The sequence below is a fragment of the Homo sapiens genome, chromosome 8, assembly GCF_000001405.40.
Source record: "Homo sapiens chromosome 8, GRCh38.p14 Primary Assembly".
NCBI classification, from domain to species: domain Eukaryota; kingdom Metazoa; phylum Chordata; class Mammalia; order Primates; family Hominidae; genus Homo; species Homo sapiens.
Window position 1 is genome coordinate 9,744,561 of NC_000008.11, and position 27,471 is coordinate 9,772,031.

Sequence of the window (27,471 nt, forward strand, 5' to 3'; positions counted from 1 at the left end):
GGATTCTGAAACTAGGTTAAATTGTCTGTTTCTCCTGGAAACATTCCAACAGAGATCAGTTTCTTTTCTGGACCTTCTAGTTCAATACTTTGCTCTTATATACTGTGTTGAATAGAACTGAACTGCTATTTATTGGATTTGTCAGCCTTAAATTCCAGTTACTATTTTTGCCTCAATGGTGTAGCTATTTAAAAGAATTAAACAGCTTAAGAACTGTATTTTTAGTCTATTTGGGTAGTAATATACTCCTTCCTGTTCATTGTTCTTTCAGACATTTGTCAGAAAATTTCACAAGCATGTAGTTGGTTTGTCCAAGCATAAACTATAACTTCAATATAAAGAAAGCTTAATAATACATACCAGATATACAATTCATTTTATACACACATACAGAAACAGGTAATTTTCCTTGGACTTTTTGTAATTTTGGAAGCCTGTGTAAATTAGTCTACCAGATTATATTATTCGGCCTGTAAACATGGGAGTTCAATAAAATTAATCATCAGAAACACAGTTTAAGTAGCTTGTAACCTCACTGGGGAGAAGCTTGAAATTATTCCGTGCTTTTGGGTTAACTTAACAAAAATTGCTGCCTTTTTTCAACATATAGCCTTTGAATAAGGGAGATAAATTACTAGGTTTGGTTTTGTTTTAGGTGATTTTGATAATACCACGAGTGGTACCTCTGTTTTCATCTTTTGTGTTAGAAAATTTAAAAATAATTAAGCTATAGAATTAATTTTATAGTGATATTATAATCCCAGAAGAATCACAAAACATCCTGTTCTGAGAAGACTTAGTCTGATTATGCTGCTTATTTATTTTATTTTTTGTTTATGGGGTTTTTTGTTTTGTTTTGTTTTGAGATGGAATCTCACTCTTCACCCAGGCTGGAAAGCAGTGGTGCAATCTTGACTCACTGCAATCTCCGTCTCCCAGATTCAAGCGATTCTCCTGCCTCAGCCTCCCAAGTAGCTGGGATTACAGGTGTGTGGCGCCACACCCAGCTAATTTTTGTGTATTTAGCAGAGATGGGGTTTCGCCATGTTGGCCAGGATGGTCTCAAACTCCTGACCTCAAATGATCTGCTGGCCTCGGCCTCCCAAAGTGGTGGGATTACAGGCCTGAACCACCACACCTGGCCTATTTTTTGTTTTTGGGGGCGTTTTTTGCTTTGTATTATTAGAGCAAATGTGGAAGCTTTCCTTAGTAGTTGGCTGATCTGTACTTTTGTTTTTAGATAAATGTTCTTCACTTTGTTTTCAGAAACTACTATTTCTAAAATTAGGAAATACAGATATTTATATTACATAAAGTTAAATACTACCTCAGAAAAAGTGCCTGTTCTTTTTGAAGTGAGTGTCTTCAAGAGTGCAGGGAAGACGATATCTTAAGGAAGATAGAAAGTGACATGCATTAAGTTGCATCTTGGGATCTTTCTTGGCCTTCCCTGTCTTTTCCCATTCTCATAAATGTCTTCCTTAAAAGCCTCAATGTGTGGTAGTCGAGCAGCAGCATGAGTTAGAAATTTATTTTCAATAGATGATGTGCTTTTGAGTTAATTATCCAAACTGACCAAGTTATGCCCAGAAATGTGTCTGTAAGGGACACAAATGTGCCAGTTGCACCAAATTATAGCATACTGGAGTTGAAATGGATCTCAGAAATACTTAAGTGCTAACCAGCCTAACATCCTAAATGTATTTATAAAAATATACAAGTTATTTTTAATATTCTTAAAAAGCCTATTTGTTGAATCAGTAGTGCCTATTGTGTGATCGATTGTCTTAGCTTATTTTATAAGGATTTTTGGGAAGAAGCTGAAGCCTTTTGCTATGTGGAGCTCTTGCTTGAGTGAACCTGGTCTCCATGGAACTTGCTTCTGTATTGGCTTTTATAGTCCTGCTCCTTTATAGTTCTTCTCCAGCTTCCATTTTTCCTTTTGTCTCCTCTGAGGATTTTTCTTCCACTCTCCTTTTCCAAAATATTGTTGTTTTCAAGGTTTTATCCACCTTGTAATTATCTTTCTGTATTCCTTTCCTTAATGAGCTCATTTATCAAGTAGCTACAACTATTAATCCCCTATTCCATTTCGTAATCTCCCTGGAGCCCCCAGCCCCAGTCCTCAGCCCTCCATAGGTATTGAGCAAATGCTGGTTGGTAGGTGAGTGGTGGGAGAGTGAGTAAGTGAATGATGCCCCCTCGACTGTGCTCCAACCTTTTCTGACAAACGATCTGCACAATGTCTTTACTTTGATGTTTTACCTCAGAAGGTGCCTACCTCAGTGAGCCTTATCTGAGAGTTTCATACCTACTTAAACTTTTTTTTTTTTTTTTTTTGAGACGGAGCCTTGCTCTGGTAACCAGGCTGCGGTGCGGTGGTGCAATCTCAGCTGACTGCAACCTCCGCCTTTTGGGTTCAAGTGATTCTCTTGCCTCAGCCTCCCGAGTAGCTTGGATTACAGGCATGCACCACCATGCCCAGCTAATTTTTGTATTTTTGGTAGGGACGGGGTTTCACTATGTTGGCCAGGCTGGTCTCGAACTCCTGACCTCAGGTGATCCGCCCACCTCAGCCTCCCAAAGTGCTGGGATTACAGGCGTGAGCCACCGCACCCAGCCCCTACTTAAACTTTTACAACTCAATTTCTTTTAATAGTTCTACCTTATTTTCTAATCTTCCAGATTCCCCCCTCCTTCCCCCCCTCAAAAAAATGTAGTCATCTTTGACTTTTCTCTCTCTCTCTTCTGTTGTGAATTTGGCTTTTAAACACAATTTTTTTTCTTTCAAAATTTCTCAGATTTAGCCCTTCTTTTCCATTTTTCTGTAACTGTCAATGGTTCAGGGTCTCATCACCTCATGCCCAGGTTATTAGCATGTCTGCTGCTAACATTTCCTCCACCCGGCAATCATTTAGACATAACAGACCAATTTTCATAAAATGTTATGTTGCTTTTTCAAAGGCTAAAGAGAAAACATTGAGAATCTTTGAGATGAGTATTTCAGTAAATCTGATTGCAGTAGGTAGAAAAGAAATGGGAAGATAAGAGAATCAATGTGAATAGAATGCATATTTGAAAAGTTTGGCAGATAGATTAGACCATTAACAGAAGATTTGAATTAGGTACTAGTTTCACTTTACAGAATGAAACACCTTACAAAGTATTTGTTTTTAAAATAAAGTTGAATATATTAGAGGGATGCATTTTTTGAAAAAAAGCCCATGAACAGTTACAGGGTAATAGTATAATTGTGTAATTGAGATTTTGAAGGAGGCAAGAAAAGATGGAGTCCAAAGTGTAAGTAGAAGACTGAAATACTCTTTTTTTTAGAAGAAACTTCTGTTAAGGATGAAAATGGAGATACAGAGGAGTGAATTGTTAAATAAAAACAGGTATACACAATGGTGCTTTACCAGATGATCTCATTCTTAACTCTTTGTATCCTTTTCTTTTTTTTCAGCATGTTGACATAGCGGCTTTATTGATAAAATACAACACGTGTGTAAATGCAACAGATAAGTGGGCGTTTACTCCCCTCCATGAAGCAGCCCAGAAAGGAAGGACGCAGCTGTGCGCCCTCCTCCTAGCGCATGGTGCAGACCCCACCATGAAGAACCAGGAAGGCCAGACGCCTCTGGATCTGGCAACAGTAAGTCCTCATTTCAGATACTGATTATTGTTCCTTCTACTTTCACAGATGACATCAGATTCTCGGGTTCACCAGCTTACTTTTAGTCGTGTTTATTTCACTTAGAACAGAGATCTTCTGAAAATTTTTGAAGTTCACACTTTTTCTATGAAAATATAATTTAAAACTCTTAAGACAAACTAAACAGTAAGTTAATTTAATTTTTTGCCATTCTTAGCCTGCTGGGAAAACATGGATCTTAAGAAAACATGTTTTTAGAGTGTACCCTCAAAGAATTATATTTAGTAAAATATCTTGTACCTTCTATATTTGGCATGTTATTGTAGAGCAACTAATGTTCATGATAATTTACCTAAGTCTGTGAGATAGTCAAAGAAAAATTAACTCTGGGCAGTATTATTTAACTGCAAAGTTAAGCACTGCATCATCTTCCGTGAACTTTCTGAAAACCAGGGAGTTACTGTATAGTCACAGTAATTTCTAATTTTTAAGCCAGAAATGTTTTTTCAAGTTATGTTCTGTTTCATTTATTGATTGCTGCGTAACAAACTGTTTCAAAACACCCAGTGGCTTAAAATAATAATGACTTATTATTTCTTATGATTCTGTATGTTGGCTAGGAGATTCTTCTGGTCTTACCTGGGGTCACTTGTGCAACTGCATATAGCTGGTGGCTGGGGCAGAAACATAAAGACGGCTTCATTCATATGCCTGGGGCCTTGACAGATACAACTAGAAGGCAGGGGCCTCTCTAGTCCCATGTGGCATCTCATCATTAAGTGGTCTTGTTAGAATTTCTTCACAGAATAATTGTATCTCAAGAGGGAGAAAGCAGAGGCTGTCATTGTTCTTTAAGGCTAAGCCTGGAACTGACATGCTGTCACTTCTGCCACATTCTGTTGTGCAAAGCAAGTCATGAAGTCAGCTCAGGTTCAAGGGATAGGAAAACAGATTCCACCTTCTTTGAAAGGAGAAGCAAAAATTTCGTGGCCATCTTTAATCAGCCACAGTCTTCCCTGTGAATACAAATTAAATCTATTTTTCCCACATTCAAATTACACTCACCTGCCACGTGCTCCCCCCACCAACAGGGGGCAGATAGTCATCACTGGGTCCTTAGCAATTCTAAAATTCAGCCAGACACATGTTATCAGGGCCATCTACTCTGGAGTTAGGGAATGATCCCTGATTAGGGCCCAGTTCTGCTCCCAGGGAGTGGTTCACTGTGGCTGTCTTTTTTTTTCCTTTTTTTTCTTTTCTTTTTTTTTTTTTTCCCCCTTAAGACACAGTCTGGCTATGTCACCCAAGCCAGAGTGCAGTGGCGTGATCATGGCTCACCACAACCCCAACCTCTTAGATTCAAGCCATCCTCGTATCTCAATCTCCTGAGTAGCTGGGACTACAGGCACATGCCACTATGCCTGGCTATTTTTTTTGTTTTTACTTTTTGTAGAGACAGGGTCTTGCTATGTTGCCCAGGTTAGTCTTGAACTTCTGGGCTCCTCCCTCAGCCTCCTTCCTCAGCCTCCCAAAGTGCTGGGATTACAGGTGTGAACCACTGTACATAGCCTCTGTAGCTCTTGGCCATGCCCTCTGAATTATCCTTCTCTTTTCATAAGAAATGGATCATATTTACAGCCAAGTGGCTTTCTCAACCTGTTCCCTGCTCCTAGAAATTTTCGGGACCCTGAGCCTTTTATCATTTTGATCTACCTGTCCCTTTTAGTCCAAACTAGTACAACTCTTCCTTTGTAAACTTTTGGATTTCCCATCAAATTACACACCACTCCATCAGCCAAAAGCTCCACCCACAAATCTTTTCAAGACAGGTCCCTCTCTAACATGGAATCCAAGTAAAGGTGCAGTGGGACAATGCCCATAAGATCCTTTGAAGCTCTTTCATCTAGCCAAGGGAATTCACAAGGTACCACCTTAGAGGTTTTTTAAAGATTTTGAGGTAATATATCTGTACCTCTAGTTGATTTTTATTCTGAGGCCATGTTTTCCTGTCAGCACGCTGGATTTGACCTTTGGCCTGAGGCTGTGCCTTACTTGAAGAAACTTTTGCTGATGGAGAGGCTGGGAATGGTGAATAATTTTGTTTTCTAAGCTAGCAAATGTTAGGTGAATACATTTCCTTAAAGAGAACTGGACAGTTCCTTTCTCTCTTCCTGTACCTTATCATGGGCAGATAAACACACCAGTCCAGTTGACAAGGCAGAATTTGTTCTGGAAATTTCCTTAGCCAAATTTACAAATTTATTTAGGTTTACGTTCTACCTTCCGTAAGACCTCCTGTGGCAGCGTTGCCAAACTTTCTGCTACACAGCATTAGTCCCCTTTCTCTCGCCTTCAGTAGCACTTGCCTATCTATCTTCCATTCACAGCCTCCCTCAGCAATAACCAGGCCACCCTTCACGCCTCCAACCAAAGCCACATGTCCACCAGCACCCCACTTCCAGGTACTGGTGTGCATTTCATTTCTCTATTGCTGCCCACTAAGCCACCCCCAAACCCACTGAGGGTTTAACGTGACAATTTATTATTTCTCACACGTCTGGGAGTTGACTGGGCTCAGCTGGGTGGTTCTGGTTTTGCAGTTACCTGCACCTGGGAACTCAGCAGAGGCTGGAGCTTCCAAGATGGCCTTTCATCCCGCAGGGCTCTCCCTGCATAGGATCTCACCACTCAGTAGTCTAGCCCAAACTTCTGTACAACATGGCAGATGGCTTCTAAGAGAGTAAAAGTAGACACTGCCAATCCACTTAAAGCCTGGCTCAAAAGCCTCAGAATGTCACTTCTTCTCCATTCTATTGGTCAAGACAACTCACAGGGCAAACCACATTCGGCGGGTAGGGGGCAGAAATTCAAGGGGAGGCATACATGACGGGAGGAAGGAATTGATGGGTGGCTGTCTTTGGAGACTATCTCCCGCATACTCGAAAAGCAGTTGCATCTAATACTTAAAAACTGAAAAGTTTATGAATAAATGAGCTAAATTAAAGTGTCATCCCTTTGAAATTTCACCAGATGTTAATTGTACATGAAATTATTAAGTGTGAAGTAAATAACCAGATTATAGCTGTTTAAACGTAAACAAAATATAGTAAACACAGAAATTTTTTCTAAAGAAGGGTGACAGTTAACACTGAAAGTGCTTTTTTTTAAATGAAAGAAGAAATATCTTTAAAAATTACATAGTTTCTCCAATTCTGTCTACTGAAACTATTGAAACTCTTTGGAGCTGTGGATAGGAGAAGGAATGATCAAAAACCAGTAGGTGATAATGAGGCATTCATTAAGGAAAAAATCCACAAAGTATTTGGTTATCAGTGAAAAACTTACCATTTTAATATATAGTATTTTCATGGTTTTTGTTTTTAATCATTTTTTTAGGCTGACGATATCAGAGCTTTGCTGATAGATGCCATGCCCCCAGAGGCCTTACCTACCTGTTTTAAACCTCAGGCTACTGTAGTGAGTGCCTCTCTGATCTCACCAGCATCCACCCCCTCCTGCCTCTCGGCTGCCAGCAGCATAGACAACCTCACTGGCCCTTTAGCAGAGTTGGCCGTAGGAGGAGCCTCCAATGCAGGGGATGGCGCCGCGGGAACAGAAAGGAAGGAAGGAGAAGGTGAGTAGACCCCATGAATGCTTATTTATTTATACCTTTTGTTAGTGGAGCAGAATGACTTTTTTCTATTGATAACTATTGAATGCCTCAATTAGAGACGTCCTGTCTGTAAATTTTCATACACACAACATCTTACAAGAAATATTTCTTCATAGAAGGCTGCCACGTTTCTTGGCATTGTCGTTGTTCTTATTTCTGTATATTCTAGAGCATCTGTTTACAACCATAGCATCTTATTGAACCACTTATACTGAAATTGTGTCAGAACACAACTGAGAGGTCATTTCAGGAATGAAAACTAAAATGATAGCTGATACATTTAGATTTTTTAATTCATTAAAAGCTTTAGATGTTTCTATATAAGTAGCATTCTGTAGTATAAGAATTATACTATAATGTTAAAATTAGTATAATATTCTCTATATTTTTATAAATTACAATAAGTTATAATTCTATATTCTAACCATAATATTAGAATACAAATACTAATTTGATAAAGATAAAACACTCTGTTTTTACTTCCCAATCAACTTCAGAAATAAAGTGTCTAAATTAAATCTGTGTATTCTGTATTATTTTATGCCATGGAAAATCATCTGACAGCCAAGGTTGTCAGAGTCATGTCTAAATGGATACTGAAATTTTCTTTATATTTAGAGAATTCTTTCTGAGAATCTTTAATATGTTTCTGTTTTAGTTGCTGGTCTTGACATGAATATCAGCCAATTTCTAAAAAGCCTTGGCCTTGAACACCTTCGGGATATCTTTGAAACAGAACAGGTAAATACTCTTGTATATATTTGAGTCATTTAAATTAAATACTAAGATTAGGCTGGATGCAGTGGTTCACACCTTACTCCCAACACTTTGGAATGCTTCGGCAGGATTGCTTGAGCCCAGGAGTTTGAGACCAGCCTGGGCAACAAAGCGAGACCCCCATCTCTACAAAAAAAAAAGTTTTTAAGTTAGCTGAGCATGGTGACTTACTGGGCCCCTGTAGTGCTAGCTGCTGGGAAGCTGAAGCAGGAAGATCATGTGAGCCCAGGAGTTTGAAACTGCAGTGAGCTGTGATTGTGCCACTGCATTCTAGCTTTGGCGACAAAACAAAACCCTATCTCGAAAAAAAAAAAAAAAAGAAAGACTTATTAATTGCCACCCACCTCTTCCTCTTTTGCTTCTTACGAGCTATTCTTAAACCCACAACACATTTCTATAAGAAGCCAGAGGAGCCCAGTATTTTATACTTCTCCCCAAAATTGTCTAACAAATGAGTCTTTATTTTATCTTTATAAGCAGTCTAGCACTATGCATTTTATTACATGTCAAAACTTAGACCATGCAACTACCTCAAAAGAATGTTTTCATGATTGTCCTTGGTTGTTTGTTTCCGAAAAATGTCAGTCTTTATTCATCTCATTTCATTATTCATGTGACTAGGCTCCTGAAGCAGTTGCCCATTAATTTGGAAAGCACAGTAGTACTTAGACAACTGCACTTTTAAAAAATTGCCCCTTTATGAAGTTTCTGTTGTCCACTTGGAGTCTTAAATAATATTAAACCAAAAGTTGGCCATACATTCCAATAGACCCACCCTATTTTGGGATCCATCTTAAATGTCTGTGAAGGTCTAAGGATGGAGTCATCATTAGGGCATTTATGAATTAGGATTCTTCTGTTTGTTTTACTGTTTTCATACAGGATAAGGAGTTGTAATATTGTATGCTTTCATTATTATGATCAGCTTTAAATATTGAATGATGGTAACTCCTGAATTTAAATGGACTATTGATATACATGAAATTTAAGAATGGGAAAGGTGTTTAGAGAAAAATTATTCTCCCAGGTGTAGGGATCACCCTTGTATAATAACACCCATGTTAGTCCTCCAGCCAAGGAAGATATCTTGTTACAATTTGGGACAGGTGTAATAGAATGCTTGTAACTTAAAGTGTGCCAAAATCTGCCCGTAGGTATAATTCCTTTGTTTTCAGCTTACGCTTACGCTTACCCTGTTTTGCACAGAGATCTAATCTCCAGTCTACATATGTATTCAGTTTCAGAGGACTATACTCCCTACAGAGGCTGTAGGGGAGAATCTATTCCATGCCTCTTCCTGCTTCTGATGGTTGGCAGCTTCCTTGGCTTGTGGCCATGCTACTCCAGTCTCTGCATCCATCTTCACATTGCCTTCCTGTCCTCTCTATCTCTTCTAAGGACATTTGCATTGAATTTGAGGCCACCAGTATAATCCTGGGTGATCTCCTCATCTCTAGACCCTTAACATAATTTCGTCTGCAGACACTTTTCTTCCAAGGAAGGTGACATTCACAGGTTCTGGGGATTAGAACATAGACGTATCATTTTGAGGGCCACCATTCAGCCCACTACAACATAATATGGCCCTAGATATCTTTTTAAGACCTAGTCAACTTATCAGAGGTGTCACCCTTTCAATCACCCACCTCTACACATCTTCCCCTATTTTAGAATAAATCTGTTTTTTCAATTATTCTTTATATGACATAATTTTCCAGTATTTCACTGGCACCTTTGGCCCATTATGGTTCCCTTCTAGGCTTATAGTCAGTTTGGAGTTAACTTAAAAACCAGGTCTTTTTTCTTATTTATATCAATTATACTGTTAAGATTTTTTTTCTGCTTTCTCTCTTTTTTTTAGCTACATTTTTTCATTATAGTTCATCTTTAATGCTCTTAATGATAAGAACAGCCGAGTAGGGATAGCACTGGACTAAAAGAAGACCTTAATTCTAATTATTTTTACCCTCTTACTAGCTGTGTAAAATTGGGCTGAATGACATTTATCCTATCACTTCCTTTACCTGTAAAACCTAATGCTTATAAATGTTCAGAGAGTTAAAATCCTCAGTAATATTGTGCTGCTGTGTCAGCTTTTAATACAGTGATGCATCACAGGTGCCTTTGCGTCTAATGGTTAGGACTTTATAGACTGCTGTCTATAAAATCATTTTCTTTTCCAACCATTTATTCATCCTCTGGTTTGGAGCTTTCTTAGGACAATATCCTAAATAGTAAGACTGCTTCATCCTTATTCCCTAACTGAAGGTGTGAAAGCTGATTTAAAACCATTATACTCTGCTGTTCCCATATTACAGCTATAGCTGTTCTTCCCAAATCATTTCCACAATAATTGTAAAATTTCAAACACATCTTTGCTAAATAAACCAAAGACCTTAACTCAAACAAATAATTCCAATTTACTGATGAAAGTTTTCTAAAGAATGTTCATTTTTCTTCTTTTAGTCAGTTTGCATTATAATTTTATGTGTTCTTTTTAAATTTATATCGTATATTCGCATTGTCAGTAACTGACTTCCTGTGGCGTATTTATCACATTTTATTGATTTGAATAGTTTAATAGTTTAGTCTCCTAGTCACTCCTTCTGACAGCTTGTCCTGGTTTCATCAGTTTCATTGTTCTTTTTTTACTGCAGTTTCATTCTGAGTAAATGGTTCCATTGGTTTTCTTTTAGCCAGAATAATTTCTATAGCCTTTTATTGATCAATACATAGACGATTGCATTTAATGTATATTACCAAGCACAGTTCTTTCCCTCCAGACAGGTGATACTACCTTTCTTTGTATTGAACTGTGTCTGGCCCAATCATCAAGCAATCAAATTTATTTTTATTTTAATTGCAAATGTTATTTATCTAGCCTTCCATTATAAATAAATTTGATAACCTTTTCCATAACTTTAACCCTTAGCATTTTCTCCCATTAACATTCTATATCAGTAATATGTGATGATGGTCAATGTATTTGTATAGTCGGGGAGGAGTGAGGGTGCATGCATTGAACGCATTTAATTCATATCTGTTTGGCTTAAGCCAGGGGAGCCGTTGTTTTCTGATGCTCTTTGACATGCTTCTATGTCTCATTGCCTGTGTTCCTACTCATGGATGCCAGTGGGGTGTGGAATGTAGTTATTTTATTTCTGGTCCCAGAAGAAAACCTTCGGCACATCATAGCCTCACCTCCTATCTTCACAGTTACTCTCTTGGAAGTCTCTAAACTAAATTGTCCTGTTTCCCATAGATACTTTGCCAAGTTCTATGTTGAATAATATAGTATCCTTTCTAGTTAATGAAATATAGTACCCATGTGACTTTGGCCCTTCCTTTATAACATAGCTTTGTACCTATGAACATAGGTAGGAACACTTTTTATATGGGAAAGACAGATTTTATTTACACTGCAATTCCTAGAACATAAATGCTATCACTTGGAAGACTGCTTGTGGACATTTTTATGGTTAACCTATGTATTTTCATGGAAAGTGACCAGATAAATTTTGATTTCAAATTCTTGAAGACAAAAGCATGGCCTCCCATAATTCATTGTGAACTTGATTATAAAGTTAGTTCTTATTACTCCTGCTGTACCATACAACCTTTTAAGCCCAAGCAAGAGGACGTCTTTTTCATTAAAACTAGTTTTCTCTCCCCACCCAAAGTAAAATGACTCTCAGAAGCTAGAGGTAGCTCTTTTTGCAGTGACCTTTGCTTTATGTGCAAGATGACTTTAACTGACACGTGGATAATCTTTATTCTTAGTAATTTTATTTTAATGTATACTAGATAGAAATAACTAGCCCAACAAGCTTGTGATTTCCTCAGTATAATAACTAAGTCAAGGTTTTAAAAAAGGAGCAAGTTAATTTAAATATGATTTTCAGAAAAAAAAATGTCTAACAGCTGATAGGGGTATATATAAAATTCCTGAGTCTTGAAGCAACATGTCTAAAATCCAACTAACCTGCTTTCCATCCAGATATTTCTATTTCTTTTGTTGATGCAAAAGTCTCATAGTTACCCAGCTACAGAATTTTGGAATAATCTTACTTTCATTCCTTTTATTTTAACCATTTCTATTTACCAGGCCCTGTAAATACAGTTCTCCAGTTGCTTTCAGATTCATCCCTTCCATGCCATTTTATCTTCTTCTTATTCCCAGTTGCCTTCCCTTCCAAATCTGCCCTTCATAATGCCAACAGTCTCATCCTCCTAAAATACAACTTTGATCATATTACTCTGCTGAAAAGACTTCCCAGGGCCTTTGGTATACTTTTTTTGTTTTTGTTTGTTTTTTTTTGTTTGTTTGTTTTTGAGATGGAGTCTAGCTCTGTTGCCCAGGCTGGAGTGCAGTGGCGTGATCTCAGCTCACTGCAACCTCCGCCTCCCAGGTTCACACGATTCTCTTGCCTCAGCCTCCTGAGTAGCTGGGATTACAGGCATAGGCCACCATACCCGGCTAATTTTTGTATTTTTAGTAGAGATGGGGTTTCACCATGTTGGTCAGGCTGGTCTCAAACTCCTGACCCCGTGATCTGCCCGCCTTGGCCTCCCAAAGTGCTGAGATTACAGGCATGAGCCACCACACCTGGCCAGCCTCTGGTATACTTCTAAGCCTCTTAGTTTGATAGATAAGGCCCTTTAAGATCCTCTCTGTGCCTGCTGCTCTGCTGTGCTCCTTTTAATCCTTGATACATACTCTCCTGTAACCATTTTGAACTACAGTACTTAAGGTCCCTCAAATACTCTGTATTCTTTTAACTGATTTTCCCTTTGCACATGGTATTCCCTCTGTCTTAAGCCCACTTCCCTCCTTCCCCTGACTGATGAGCTCCTGCTGCTTAGCTGAATTATGACCTTCTTCTGAGAACCTTTCCTCATCTCCTTCCTGCTCCTTCCTTCCCAGCCCCCCTTGCAACCGTGACCAAGCAGGTCACCTTCACGAGAGTTCTCTTAGGGATTGTCCAAGACATTGACCCACTTTTTGTTTCTTGGTTACCTCAAGTAAATAGCATGAACTTTGGTTAGCACTCTGTTTCATGGCCCCACTCTTTTACTATCAGTTATTTGGACCAACTATGTAACTTTCCAACTATAAGGGGTTGTTTTAGAATTAAATGAAATATTTAGTTACTTTTTAAAGAAATACATAGCATAAAGAAGGTACTCATTAAACATTTTATATGTGAATGAGCTAACATAAATCTGAATTTCTTAGCTTTTCATTGAAGGTTTTTCAGTGGCCACTGCCTGATAGATATGTGGACAAATTGGACACCATGTAACTCACTGCGACTAAATTTAACGCTTAATCATGTCCACCTTCTAGTCATCCTTTTAAAGAATATAAACAGGGAAAAGACAGATACAGCTATACATCTCAGCTCTTCTGTGTACTATTTTTATGACTTCTCTAAGTACCAGTGACCTCATAAATACATTAATAGTACTTCATTATCTGTCATTGTAAGGATTAAATGAGGAAATGTAAATAAAGTGCTCGGAACTGTGCTTGTTATGTAGCGAGTACACAACAAATATTGTGTGGATGGTGGTTGGATGATGAATGGTTGGATGGAATTGCAAGAATAATGTATATTTATATTCAGTTGCAAGTATAGAAAGTTGTCCCATTCCCTTTTTGTTTTTTTTAGATTCCACAGGTTGATAGCTTTTCATCTCTTCTATCCTTCAGGATAGCCTAATAAACATTTTCTTTTGTTTCTTTAGTTACTTATTTTCATATGCATTCCTTTTGTGTGACTGTAAGTATCTAATTGGATAAATGCCAAGATAGCGTAGGTAGATCACTTATCTACTGCTGTGTAACAAATTACCCAAAACTTAATGGCTTAAAATAACAAACATGTATTATTCCACAGTTTCTGTATGTCAACAATCTAAGCATGGCTTAGTTGGGTGCCTCTGGCTCAAGGTCTGTCCTGAAGCTGCAGTAAACTGTCCAACAGGTCTGCAGTCTCACCTGGGGACTCACCTGGCAAGGGCTGGGACCCGCTTTCAAGCTCTCTCACAGTGTTGGTTGACTGGCCTTGATTCCTCACCTGTGGGCCTCTCCACAGTGACCTTATGGAGTATTACTTACCTGCTGCTGCTTGATAAATTACCGCAAACTCAGCAGCTCAAAACAGCACACATTTTGTGAGTCAGGAGTCTATGCACAGCTTAGTTGTGTCCTTTGCTTCACGATCTCTCACAAGGCTACAGAGCATTAGCCAGGGTCAGTATCTCATCTAAAGACTCTACTGGAGAAGGATCCCCTTCCATACCCTCACGTGCTTATTGGCAGGATTCAGTCCCTTGCAGTCTGTTGGACTGAAGCCCTCAGTTCCTTGCCATGTGAGCCTGTATAACATGGTTTCTTGCTCTATCAAAGCCAGCAAGAGAAAGATGATCTGCTAGTCACTTCTCATCACCATTGCTGTATTTGCTTGGTTAGAAGCAAGTCACTAGGCCAGCCTGCACTCCAGGGGAGGGGAGCACACAGGATGTGATGTAAGGAGGTGGGAATCATTGAGTCTGTCTGCCATAGCGTGGCAGCCAGTTCTTCTAGGGTGAGCAGTCCAAAGCGTGAGCGCCCAAGATGGAGGCCACAGTCTCTTTATTACCTAATGTAAAAAGTAATTTCCCATCACTTCTGCTGTATTATATTTGTTAGAAGTGAGTTCATAAGTCTGTCTCACACGGGGAAGGGATTACAGTGAAGACACAAATGCCAGGAGGTAGGAGAGCACTTTCCACGTTAGGTGTGAGAGCTCCTCTCAGCCTTGCCTTCTAAACTAAGTGACTTGCTATCAGTCTTTTCAGGTTGTTTTGTTGGTTTGGTTTGGGTTTTTTGTATTCATTTTATGATTAGAGCTATAAAATGAATAAATATATTAAATATTCTCCATTACTCCTCTAGAACATTGTAGAGAATATTGTGTTTTGCTGGCCTGGTGTCTGCTTCCTCCAGACGTGCACTGTATGTATCAATCCAGAAAAGTCTGACGAGGGCCAGGCGCGGTGGCTCACGCCTGTAATCCCAGCACTTTGGGAGGCCAAGACGGGCAGATCACGAGGTCAGGAGATCGAGACCATCCTGGCTAACACGGTGAAACCCCATCTCTACTAAAAATACAAAAAAATTAGCCGGGCGTGGTGGCGGGCGCCTGTAGTCCCAGCGACTTGAGAGGCTGAGGCAAGAGAATGGCGTGAACCCAGGAGGCGGAGGTTGCAGTGAGCCGCTGAGATCGCGCCACTGCACTCCAGCCGGGGCGACAGAGCGAGACTCTGTCTCAAAAGAAAACAAAACAAAAAAAAAAAAAGTAAAGTCTGAGAATTCTCTAAGTTGAAGTTACCACATAGATATGAGACCCTTGGTTTTAAACTGAAGTTAGTTTAGAATATTTAGAAGAAAAAAATGGGACATCAATAACATAGTTTCCAAATTATATTAAAATCATGTCTAGCTAAGAATGTAAAGGCTCCTATTATTTTGTGAACTATTCCATCTCAAAGATGTGTATTTCAGAACTGGGGTTTGTTGTTTTGTTTTGTTTTGTTTTTAAAGCTCTGCTGAAACCTTTCTTTTGGGTGGTTGGATGTGAATTGCCCGCTTTGTGCAATGAAGCAATTATTGCTTAAATGGCCACTTAGAAGCAATATAGAAAATTATTTCCAAAGAACGAGTGATATATGCTCATTTCACTGGAAAGATCAAACTCATATTTTATTCTGACAAAAAAATCAGCAGAGGTCCAGGCCTAATTTGTCAGTTTTTTAAATGTTACTTGCAAGTTAAAAAGTGGAAAAAAGCGATCTTGTTTGAGTTGGAAACTGCATGTCTATAAAAGGATTTCTTGGTTTTCCAAGGCAGGGGAAAATCAAAGACTAATCTTGTAGACTAGTATATGGATTGTCACAAAGCTAGCTTCATCAGGGCTGGAAAATTGCATGTTCAGCCTTCAAGAAATGTGGCTACCCGCGTTCATCCTGTGTGTTCAGAATGTAGCCACTGGGTGGTAGTAGAGTCCCAGCTACTTTAGTCCATAAAGGAATTAGGTTATTTTGAGCCAACTAATCATCTCCATTTTACAAGGATGAATAACCAAAAGTTAAAAACTAACCAAAAATTAAAAAGCACTATGTTGTATAAAAACAGAATGTATTTTAAGGAGAAGGGATTAAGTCTGAGAATTTATGAGAGAGTTTAAAAAGAATCTAATTTTCTTATCCAAATTGGAATTTTAAAATGTAGCCTCTTTAAAACAGTTTGTAATCTAACCAAATACTTGAGATGTCAATCTCACTGCTTTTTAAGGAAGCCTGTCCCGGGCTTGAGTATTTCTTAGCACTGAGAAGTTCTTCCTTATCTTCATCTAAAAATTGCTTTCTCCTTTTCCTGCGTTGTTTACTTGTGCTGAACGCCTCTCCCTTTCCCCCACCGTTCATTTCTACTCCCTGCTGGATACTAGGATCTGGTGTTTTCCCATTTTCAAGCTACTGATTCCTCCTCTATCTTGAGGCAAGCAGTAGATGATAGAACAAAATAATCTAAAGGAAATATAGTGATGATCATTTTGTATTTCTATAGTATTGTTTCTCCCTTTTTAATTCTCATGGACAAAAAGCAAATCAAAGAGTACTTCAAGTAAGCAGAAAAGCTGATGAGACTATCAAGACAACTTTAAAAAAATTGTAAGCTCATGTTTATAAAGGGAACAAAAGAATTTTCTTAATTTGAATGGTACTCGTAGCATTGAAGGCAATTGGAAAAGCTTTTGTCCTCTTAAGAACTGTTAAAGATATCCTAGCTAATTTTGTTTCATTTTTCAGATTACACTAGATGTGTTGGCTGATATGGGTCATGAAGAGTTGAAAGAAATAGGCATCAATGCATATGGGCACCGCCACAAATTAATCAAAGGAGTAGAAAGACTCTTAGGTGGACAACAAGGTAAGCTATTCAGAAAAAAAAAAAAATTTCAGAAATCAGTGGTACAAGGTAAGTATTGGGGCTGATAATTGAACTCAGGCAGTCCAGTCCCAGAACCATACACTGAACTATTGTACCTCCTGTCCCTTCCCCATCTCAGTTATTGGCCTCATGCTCCCTCTAGCTGGAAAAATCTGAGTCAGTCTTCCCTGTCTCCCAACACTTTGTATCCTCAATTTTTCTGGAATCTCTGTACTTCTGTCCTTTCCCATGACTGTCACTTGATCCAAGCCACCATTCTCTCTCGTGGACTGTCCCAGCCACCTGGTTTATCTCCAGCCTTTACATTTGCTTCCTGCTTCCTTCCAGTACCTTCTCTACAATGTGAACACAATCTTTTCAAAATGATTATATGATCATATCACTCCATTGCTTAAACCCCTGTAATAGAATCCTGTTTCTTTTAGGATAGAATCAAACATTGCTAACATGGTTTTTTACAATCTAACCTTTCTTAACTTGAACTTTCCTCCCTCCCACATGACTGTCAGCTTTGTCTTTTTCCATTGTACTTTGCCGTTACAAGCCTCTTTCCCCTCTGTTTTTACCCATTTCTCTATTTGTTAGAAGCACCTTCACTATAGGAAAGCAAGGAAGGAGAATCTACAGAGCTAATCAAATTATAAAAGAGTGATGTGAAATTCAAACTGGAAGATTTTGTGCTTGAGTCTTGCTTATTTATCTGTATTTTAGTTCATCCATGAAACTAACAAAGATAATGTGTTTTAAAGCAATTGTAAGTGGCTATTTCAAGCCATCTTACAAGAGTTTTTAGAGGATAATTTTTATATTTTAGATCTGACTATATTGTGATGTCAGTGCCTGTTTTTCTTTTTTTTTGTGTCAGACATAGCTTCATGTATGTTCATGATAGAGTTTAATTCAACAAATATTTGTTGAACTCTGCAGTCTGTACAAGAAGCTCTGTAACAACAGATAAAATTGGGCTGGGCGCAGTGGCTCACGCCTGTAATCCCAGCACTTTGGGAGGCCGAGGCAGGCAGATCATGAGGTCAGGAGATTGAGACTATCCTGGCTAACATGATGAAACCCTGTCTCTACTAAACAAAATACAGAAAATTAGCTGGGTGTGGTGGTGGGCGCCTGTAATCCCAGCTACTAGGGAGGCTGAGGCAGGAGAATGGTGTGAACCCGGGAGGCGGAGCTTGCAGTAAGCCGAGATCACGTCACTGCACTCCAGCCTGGGCGACAGAGCGAGGCTCCGTCTCAAAAAAAAAAAAAAAAGAACAGATAAAATCAGTCCCCAAACATCTTCATTTTTTTCTCCTGTCTGTCTTTGAGTATATTTGTTTAAAGTAACCGAATTTATCAGGTTCAAATTGCAGATAGTTTAGGTTTGTTCCAAAACCTCAATTACTTATTATGAATTTTTTTTTTTTTTTTTTTTTTATAAAATAGAGCCTGAGTAGTGTAGACTTTTGTTTTATATGTTAATTTTTCTCTCCGACAGGCACCAATCCTTATTTGACTTTTCACTGTGTTAATCAGGGAACGATTTTGCTGGATCTTGCTCCAGAAGATAAAGAATATCAGTCAGTGGAAGAAGAGGTAATATACATCAGAAATCTTTCATTTGCTTTTCTTGAAATCTGTGGATAAACCTCTTTTTCTGGAATTAACCTCGTCTTACATTGCCTTGCGGTCACATGCCTATTAATCAGTCTGTCTTAGCCACTGTGGTAGAATATTGCCAAAATTAAAATATGACGGCGCCCCATGGTTTTCACATCATAAGCCTAGGTTTTCTAATGCATGGGGCCCATCTGTCTTTTTATTCTGGAGATTTTCTTGAATCTCATGCAAAATAAATAAGGAGCCTATTACAACTATTTTCTTATATTGTTACAGTGCCACCTAAGAATGACATAGAATGAAAAACTCTTGCCTCATAGAGAGCAAATATGTTCTCATCCTTGTTTTTATGCAGTTATAAATGTGACTATAAAATAATATGCCTAATCGTCACGTATGCTTCTGGGTCTGCCTCATTATTCTGCATAACATTTTTCCAGTCACAGTTCTTCTGAGCCCCTATGAAGGCTGTTTGTGTAACCCTCCTGGTGGTCAGATGCCAGTGAGACTCCTGCTCCACTGACGGCTTATGCATAAACAAACAGCCTAATGCCATTGTTATAAGTAAGCTACCCAATTGTGTTATGCACATACCTAGGCAGAAAAAGGTATGCCTAATTCTTGTTTGTTTGTTTAATTAGTGCTCATTTTATTTTCATTCCCAGGCTAGGAACTTGCATAGGGAACTCAGGACCATGACCCCAGGGCTGTATTTCAGCTCATACGTAGCGCATCAGGAAGGCATCATGGGGTCCGGTGTCTTACTACCTAATTCTCCTAGCAGTTAGTACATTTTGATAACAATGTCAAAAATGTAGTGACTCTTCACAAGTGGAGCAGTAAGGAAGAGAATTCATTTTTTTTATTGAGTTAATTCTCTGAGAAACTTAGATCTTTAAAACATTTTTCTTTTCCATAATTATTTTTAATTTAGAGAGTAGTCAGAAGACAGTTATTCCCTTTAGTAGTACATTATAGTCAATGTCCCCTGGTCTGTGTAAATATACTTAGAGATCCCAAGCTGAAGACTATTGAGATAATATGGAATATTTCACCTACAGAACAAATATTTTTTAAAAATTGTTTATTTTTAGCATTTGTCCAACGGGCATTTAAGGAGTTTTTGTTTGACTTAATCAGAGTGTTAGTTCTTCTTCTCAATAAGATAAGATAGTAATTGTAGATGACTTAATGTGTTTTTTAATATGTTTCCCCATTGTGTTTACAGAAAACTCTTTCAGAACTTTTATTTAAAAGTAAATAGAAAGTGCATAAATTTAATATTTATGTTTGAAATTATTTTCTCACCAAAAATACTTATCCACTAAACTTGTTCATCAATTTATAGTGAACTCCTATTTATTTATTAATACTGAATTTTAGACTCATCATTGTCTAGAATTACACACTGGGATGTTTTTATAAAATTAGTTATTTTGTTCTGTAGATGCAAAGTACTATTCGAGAACACAGAGATGGTGGTAATGCTGGCGGCATCTTCAACAGATACAATGTCATTCGAGTAAGTTTTTAAAGTTTCATGGTGAAAACTGGATTGCAAGGCTTGCCTAAAAACCAAATCTAGACAATGAAAAAAGTTTATTAAGTCATATTTTCAAACTGTGAAAGATAATTCGTCACCTGTCTGAAGTCAGATAGCACTCTTCTCACTACAATATCTCTAACTCCCCAAGACAATACGTCACTAAAAATAGAGACATTCTGAAAGCGTCAAAGCTACAAACAGGAGGCTAAATCAGCTTCTACTAGTGATACTTACGTGGATATTGGTCTCCCTGCTCATGCACAAATACAGGCCATAGCTGACAATAATGTTTTTTATCATTTGAGAGTTGCATCAAAGTCCTGGATCTTCAATCTAATTGAACCAGTAATTACCTCAGAATACATATATTTCTTAATCTCGGTATCTCAATTTATAATATGGAACAGATGACTCAAGCTTTTTACAAAGGGGTATCATAAAGATGAATAAAACCTGTAGAGAACTGGTTTAACCCTTTGAGTTAACAGACCTGTAAAAGTTATACTGGTACACATCAGAATAACCCAGGGAACTTTTTTAAAAAAAATACAGATTTACAGATCCCCATCTCCTAAAATGTATTAAGTCTGGGGAGATGCCTAAACATAACCTTTTTACCTATTTTTTTTTTTAATCCTGAGGTGATTTAGAGGTAACAGCCAGGTCTGGTATAGAACAACAAAAACTGTAACTGAAAATTATGTCACTAACAGCTAGAGTATTTTCTGAATTACACTGACATGGTAGCTTTATCACTTTTAAATTATGTCTTAAGCAAAATAAAAATTGAACCTTCCTAAAAGGAAAACATACTTTTCATTTTAAATCATAAATGCACGTTTCACCGATAATGTTTCTTTCTTCTTCATCCTTAAAGATTCAAAAAGTTGTCAACAAGAAGTTGAGGGAGCGGTTCTGCCACCGACAGAAGGAAGTGTCTGAGGAGAATCACAACCATCACAATGAGCGCATGTTGTTTCATGGTAAGCAGCGTGGCAGGGACGGTGGACGTCTCCCTGGGCCTTTGCAGGAGTCAGTAAAGGGAAAAACCTACGTTAAATTGACTATAATACGGTTGTGTTAAAAACGGCTTGTTTTGATTATTTTGTTCAAATAATTACTTCTTGGTACCAGCTTTCTAATGTATCACACATCAGTACAGACTTTCCAGTGCATATACAGTGAAAATACTTGATCTAAAATTATTTTAGTACTTAAATTGCAAATTGAGCCACCTAGTGAATTACTTTTGTTGTAATTTTGTACTAGTACATTATTATGTATAATAGACCTTCTTAGAAAATACTTTTCATTTATACACCATTCATTTCTTAATATTAACCTGCCCGATGCAAATAGTGTGCAGGTAATTGAGCTTCTAGAAAAGTGTTCAAAAACGAATCTTTCTGTCTTCGTATTTCTAGGTTCTCCTTTCATTAATGCCATTATTCATAAAGGGTTTGATGAGCGACATGCATACATAGGAGGAATGTTTGGGGCCGGGATTTATTTTGCTGAAAACTCCTCAAAAAGCAACCAATATGTTTATGGAATTGGAGGAGGAACAGGCTGCCCTACACACAAGGACAGGTCATGCTATATATGTCACAGGTAAGCATCTTGCCATTAGTGTAACGTTTCCCACCCCTAGGTCACGAACCAAATTGTCTTTTTTTTTTTTTTTTTTTTGAGATGAAGTCTTGCTCTTGTCACCCAGGCTGGAGTGCGGTGGCACGATCCTGGCTCACGCAACCTCCACCTCCTGGGTTCAAGCAATTCTCCTGCCTCAGCCTCCTCAGTAGCTGGGATTACAGGCACCTGCCACCACGCCCAGCAAATTTTTGTATTTTTAGTAGAGATGGGGTTTTGCCATGTTGGCCAAGCTGGTCTCGAACTCCTGATCTCATGATCTGCCCACCTCGGCCTCCCAAAATGCTGGGATTACAGGCATGAGCCACCGTGCCCAGCCCCAAATTGGTTTATCAGGCTCTGCAGAAGTCACAGATTATCCTCAGTCTTGCATCCCGGTAAATCCCGTTGGTTCTGGGAATGGGTGGGAACAGCTGATCAGCCTCTTCTGACAGGAGCAATAACAACAGAGCAGATAACTAGGGGTAAAAACCAGGTACATGGCCTCCAGTCACGGGTTATGATAAAACTCCCTGCATCTTGGCTTTCTCCCTGGGCTTCACTTTTCTTCCTCTGTAATCAGAATATGGCAAGGCTAAGGATGATTTCTGTGGAACAAAGAACTGCTAGCTCTAGTCACATTTGAATGAAGACACACTTCTATAAAAAACATAGACTCTTTAATTTACTTCTGATGTTGCTGGTGATGTTGTTGTTTTAAGGCAGGATATATAATTAGCCTTGGCAACTTAAAATATCAACTTTGGAATTAATAGCAAACAAATGAATATTGGCCTTGTTAATAGACTTTTAAAACTCAAAAATTGGAGAGAATAATGGTATAATCTCTGTGATGTCAGTGGCGAAAAAAGTACTTTCCCTTTCCTTGGCAATGAAAAAATACAAAAGAATTATACTGTACAAAGATTGGGATTTATTACATTTCTGTGTAAACTTACTTACCAAATGCATTCTTTTTAACAAGCCAGGTTAATAAGATACTTTGTAATTTGGTTAAGACCTTAAAAAGACCCAAATAATTTCAGAACAAGGATCTCTGAGGGAGAAAAGCCCCAGTAACCTTGAAATTGTGATTATTGACCTTAAAACTTATCTCTCAGTTGTGTTTTGAACAAAATTATTGCCATCAGCCATTTGGAGTCGGATGTCATATACCCGGAAGGAAACTTCCTTCCATTAAGACCTCTGTGGTTAGGAATACAGAGAAATTTTCGGCTGGGCATGGTGGCTCACACCTGTAATCCCAGCACTTTGGGAGGCCGAGGCGGGCAGATCATGCCGTCAGGAGATTGAGACCATCCTGGCTAACACGGTGCAACCCCGTCTCTACTAAAAATACAAAAAATTAGCCGGGCGTGGTGGCAGGCGCTTGTAGTCCAAGCTACTCGGGAGGCTGAGGCAGGAGAATGGTGAGTACCCAGGAGGCGGAGGTTGCAGTGAGCCGAGATCGCGCCACTGCACTCCAGCCTGGGCGACAGAGAGAGACTCCGTCTCAAAAAAAAAAAAAAAAAAGAATACAGAGAAATTTTCAAGAATGTATAGCATGTAAAAGTATTTTTGGGTTTTTTTGTTTGTTTTTTTGCTTCAAACCTAATTCCTCTGGAGACAAAAATGAACCTAAATAAGCAATAAAAGTGAACCTCAATGAAAATTAACAGTCGCTCATTAAAATTAGACACACAAGTTTAAGTCTTAGCCAGGATTTCTGGAAAACAGAGCCTCAAGCAAAAGCATGTGACTAGTATTTGGCCAGTGCAGCCCCAGGGAAGCAGGAATGAGGGCCCAAAAGGAACTGAGGTGGAGAAGACAGCAGAGCAACCGCAGTGAGGTGCATTCATGAGCTGGCCACAGTCTCATAGTGAGTGCAGTCGATTGCCCAGTCCATGAGGCATCTCCGGAGAGGCTGTATCAACTACGGCATCTCACAACAGTAGTATATCAGTGAGAGAAAGAGACGAATTTGTCTGCTGGCTCCTGTCTTGCATTTGTCAAAATTTGCCACCAGGGCTAATTGGTAACCCTACCATTTAGGCTGCTGCGTCTGCAGAATGCACCACAATGCACCAGACAAGCCAGTGAGCAGACTTGAGCCAGCTCTCTACTTGCCCATCTGCAGCTGCAGCTCACCGCTGGCTGAGCAGGTCCCACGTCATCTCCTGCCTCGGCAGCAACAGGCGAGCCCTGGGGCAGGAAGCAGAAGACCAGGGCCTGTCAAGTTCACCTTTGTGTGACGTAAGAGACTAGCAGAATCTAACGACAACATAGCACTGCCACAAATGTAGAGAGAGATGGAGCTCAAAAAGCCTCCTTCTGATGGAGAGCAAAGCCCTTTTCTCTGGGACCTGCAGGAGAATATAGTAGACCAAGCCAGCATCCCAGAGGATCATCAATAGCATCCAACTCAAAAAGCCAGTCCAGATAAGACCCAGTTGTCCTGGATCCAGCACAAATTTTAGTTGACTCAAGATAAAATCTCTGGTTACTTATAACACAAAGCTTATACTCCATTACTAAAAACAATTTGACTGAATTGTAACTGTTTACATTTAACAGTGTGATCATTTGTACTAATTTGTAAAAATGTTTATTGCTTATATTAGAGATTAGCAGACATTTTCTTTAAGGGATATATAATAATTATTTTAGGTTTTGCAGGTCATACAATCCCTGTCACAGTAACTCAATTCTGCCCTTGTAGCGCAAAAGCAACCACAGACTATATGTAAATGAATGCATGGCTGTGTGCCAATAAAATTGTATTTACAAAACCAGATTGCAGGCTGGATTGAGCCATGGGCTATAGCTTGCTAACCCCTGGTGTATATAATAGACTTTCTTCCCAGTCAGTCTTTCTTACTCTGTGATACTTAACATCTGCTCTAATTCAGGTTTCACCCAGACTATTATGATTTTCAGCCATACATTTAAGCTAAGTACTTTCGTTCATGATCCACTTTTATTATTACTGTTTACCTCATCCCAGTTTCTACTTTTTTCCCTGTAATGAATAAACCCAATCTTAATTTCAGGTGTTGTTTCCATCAGCTTATTTTCTTCACTTTCCACCTACCCATCCATGCAAGGGCTCAGTTTTTTCTCTGGTTTTTTCCCTTTTTCCACCAGGCAAAACTTACTGGCAGGCATTTTCTTTTTTTTTTTTTTTTTTTTTTTTTGAGACGGAGTCTCGCTCTGTCGCCCAGCCTGGAGTGCAGTGGCGCGATCTCGGCTCACTGCAAGCTCCACCTCCCGTGTTCGTGCCATTCTCCTGCCTCAGCCTCCCAAGTAGCTGAGACTACAGGCGCCCGCCACCACACCCGGCTAACTTTTTGTATTTTTAGTAGAGACGAGGTTTTTACCGTGTTAGCCAGGATGGTCTTGATCTCCCTAGCAGGCATTTTCTATGGCCGATTCCTAAGCCATACCAAAACTACTTTAAACTTTAAGTGTAACTATTGAGTCTGGTAACTGTTTATAGCAAATCATTATATCAAATTCCATCCCATTCCTACTCATAAATCTGAAAATGACATTTAAATTAGCTTGCCTTATGTTAAATTTTTAAAAAATTAATAGATCTAGCAGTTATATTATTGTAAGATTTAAAGCTTCCTTCAAAGCATTGTTTTTTTCTTTTTCCTTAGACAAATGCTCTTCTGTAGAGTGACCCTTGGGAAATCCTTTCTGCAGTTTAGCACCATGAAAATGGCCCACGCGCCTCCAGGGCACCACTCAGTCATTGGTAGACCGAGCGTCAATGGGCTGGCATATGCTGAATATGTCATCTACAGAGGAGAACAGGTATGTTACTCATCAAACAAGCATAACCAAGTTCACAAACATGTCAATAGAGCACAGAGACCGTGTAAGACTTGAGACACTTTTCAGTGAAATATCCACCACACAGTGTGCTAGTATTAATTACTTCAGATACAAAATAAAGGTATCAAAATAATTCTTTGACATCAACTTTTTACCTAAAACCCATTAGTAGCTGTCAGCCACATAACACAGTGTGAACAAGAGGGCAGCTGAGAAACAAAGGCTTGGGCCCTCATGCCGTTTTGAGGCCTGCAGCTCTGAACTAATGCCTTGTGCCACTTCGTGGGCAGCATGCCAGGGCAGCTGCTGTTAGTGGGTCTTCATGGATGTACATGCCACAGGATTTGTCCAAAAACAAAAACAATTTGTCTGAATGTAAGTGAACTTCAAATGAATACCATAACTACAATAAAAGAGAAAAATAAAGAAGGAAATAACTAAATATATATAACCTATGAAAACAGTATTTTATACTGTGCCTTCAGTCATGGGCAGGGTAGGGAATGCTGTTGGGGGAAGACTGACAAAGGAATCCTGAACTCCTTTTAGTAAATGTGTTGATGGAGATACCGTGGGCAAAACAGTGAAACTCTTAAGCATATTATAGGATTGAGCACATGAGCGGATGTGTTGATGTATTGATTTGAGGAGCCAAAATTCTCATGGTAGAAGAAGGGACATACAAATATGGAATGGAGAAGGTAAGAAAGACTCTAAGGGTGGACTGAAATTGGAAGTATTACTATGATCTCATGGTTTCTAACGTGTGTGTACACCCATGTAAATTTATGGGTAAGTAGTAATATAAGCATGTGTGTGTATATGAGAGAAAGAGAAACCAAGGAAGGGAGGGAAGGAGAGAGAGAGAGACAGACAGGAAGGAAAGGAGGGAGAGAAGAGAGGAAGGAAGGAAGTGAGGGAGGAAGAGAGAGAGGAAGGGAGGGAGAGAGCGAGGAAAGGAGGGAGGGAGGAAGGAAGTGAGGGAGGAAGAGAGAGCGAGGAAGGGAGGGAGGAGAGAGGAAGGAAGGAAGAGAGAAGAAAGGAGGGAGAGAGAGGAAGGGAAGCAGGGAGGGAGAGAGAGAGGAAGGGAGGGAGGGAAAGAGAGAAAGGGAGGGAAAGAAAGGGAGACAGATACTAAGGAAGGGAGGGACAGAGGAAAGGAAAAGAGAGAGAAGAAGGGAGGGAGAGAAGAAGGAAGGGGGAAAGAGATAAAGGGAAGGAAAGAACGGGAGAGAGAGGAAGGGAGGGAGAAAGACTGAGAGAGGAAGCAAGGGAGAAAGCGAGAGAGGAAGGAAGAGAGAAAGGGAGAGGAAAGAAAGAAGGGAGGAAGAGAGGAAGGAAAGAGGGAGGGAAAGAGAGAGAGGGATGAATGGAGGGGAGAGGCAGGAAGGGAGGGAGAGAGAGAGAGAGAGAGAGGAAGGGAGAAAGCGAGAGAGGAAGGAACAGGGAGTGAGAAAGGAAGGATTGGAGGAAGGAGAGAGAAAAAAAGGAAGGCAGGAGAGAGAGGAGAAGGGAAGTGGGGGAGGAAGGGAGAAGGGGGAATGAAGCGGGGAGAGAGGGGAGGGAGGGAGAGAGAGCTAGAGAGCGGAACGGAGGGAGAAAGTGAGGGAGAGCAGAAGGAAGGGATGGGGAGAGAGGGAGGAAGAGGGAGGGAGGGGGAGAGGGAGGGAGTGGGAGGGAGTGAGAGGGAGAAAGAGGTGGGAGGGAAGAAGGGATAGGCAGAGGGATGGGGGAGGGAGAAAGGGAGG

The 27,471-nt window shown here is 39.4% G+C and overlaps 1 protein-coding gene across 3 annotated transcripts in view; it reads left to right on the forward strand.

Moving 5' to 3' along the window:
• TNKS (tankyrase) overlaps positions 1 to 27,471 on the forward strand; it is a 226,435-nt gene that overhangs the window by 188,649 nt on the left and 10,315 nt on the right. For all 3 annotated transcript variants that reach the window (NM_003747.3, XM_011543845.4, XM_011543846.4), the window contains exons 18-26: positions 3,464 to 3,652; positions 7,049 to 7,286; positions 7,984 to 8,066; positions 16,956 to 17,076; positions 18,587 to 18,684; positions 20,156 to 20,230; positions 21,132 to 21,237; positions 21,679 to 21,865; positions 25,546 to 25,702. In NM_003747.3, coding sequence (NP_003738.2) covers positions 3,464 to 3,652; positions 7,049 to 7,286; positions 7,984 to 8,066; positions 16,956 to 17,076; positions 18,587 to 18,684; positions 20,156 to 20,230; positions 21,132 to 21,237; positions 21,679 to 21,865; positions 25,546 to 25,702 — 1,254 coding nt within the window. The remainder of the gene's footprint in view (positions 1 to 3,463; positions 3,653 to 7,048; positions 7,287 to 7,983; positions 8,067 to 16,955; positions 17,077 to 18,586; positions 18,685 to 20,155; positions 20,231 to 21,131; positions 21,238 to 21,678; positions 21,866 to 25,545; positions 25,703 to 27,471) is intronic.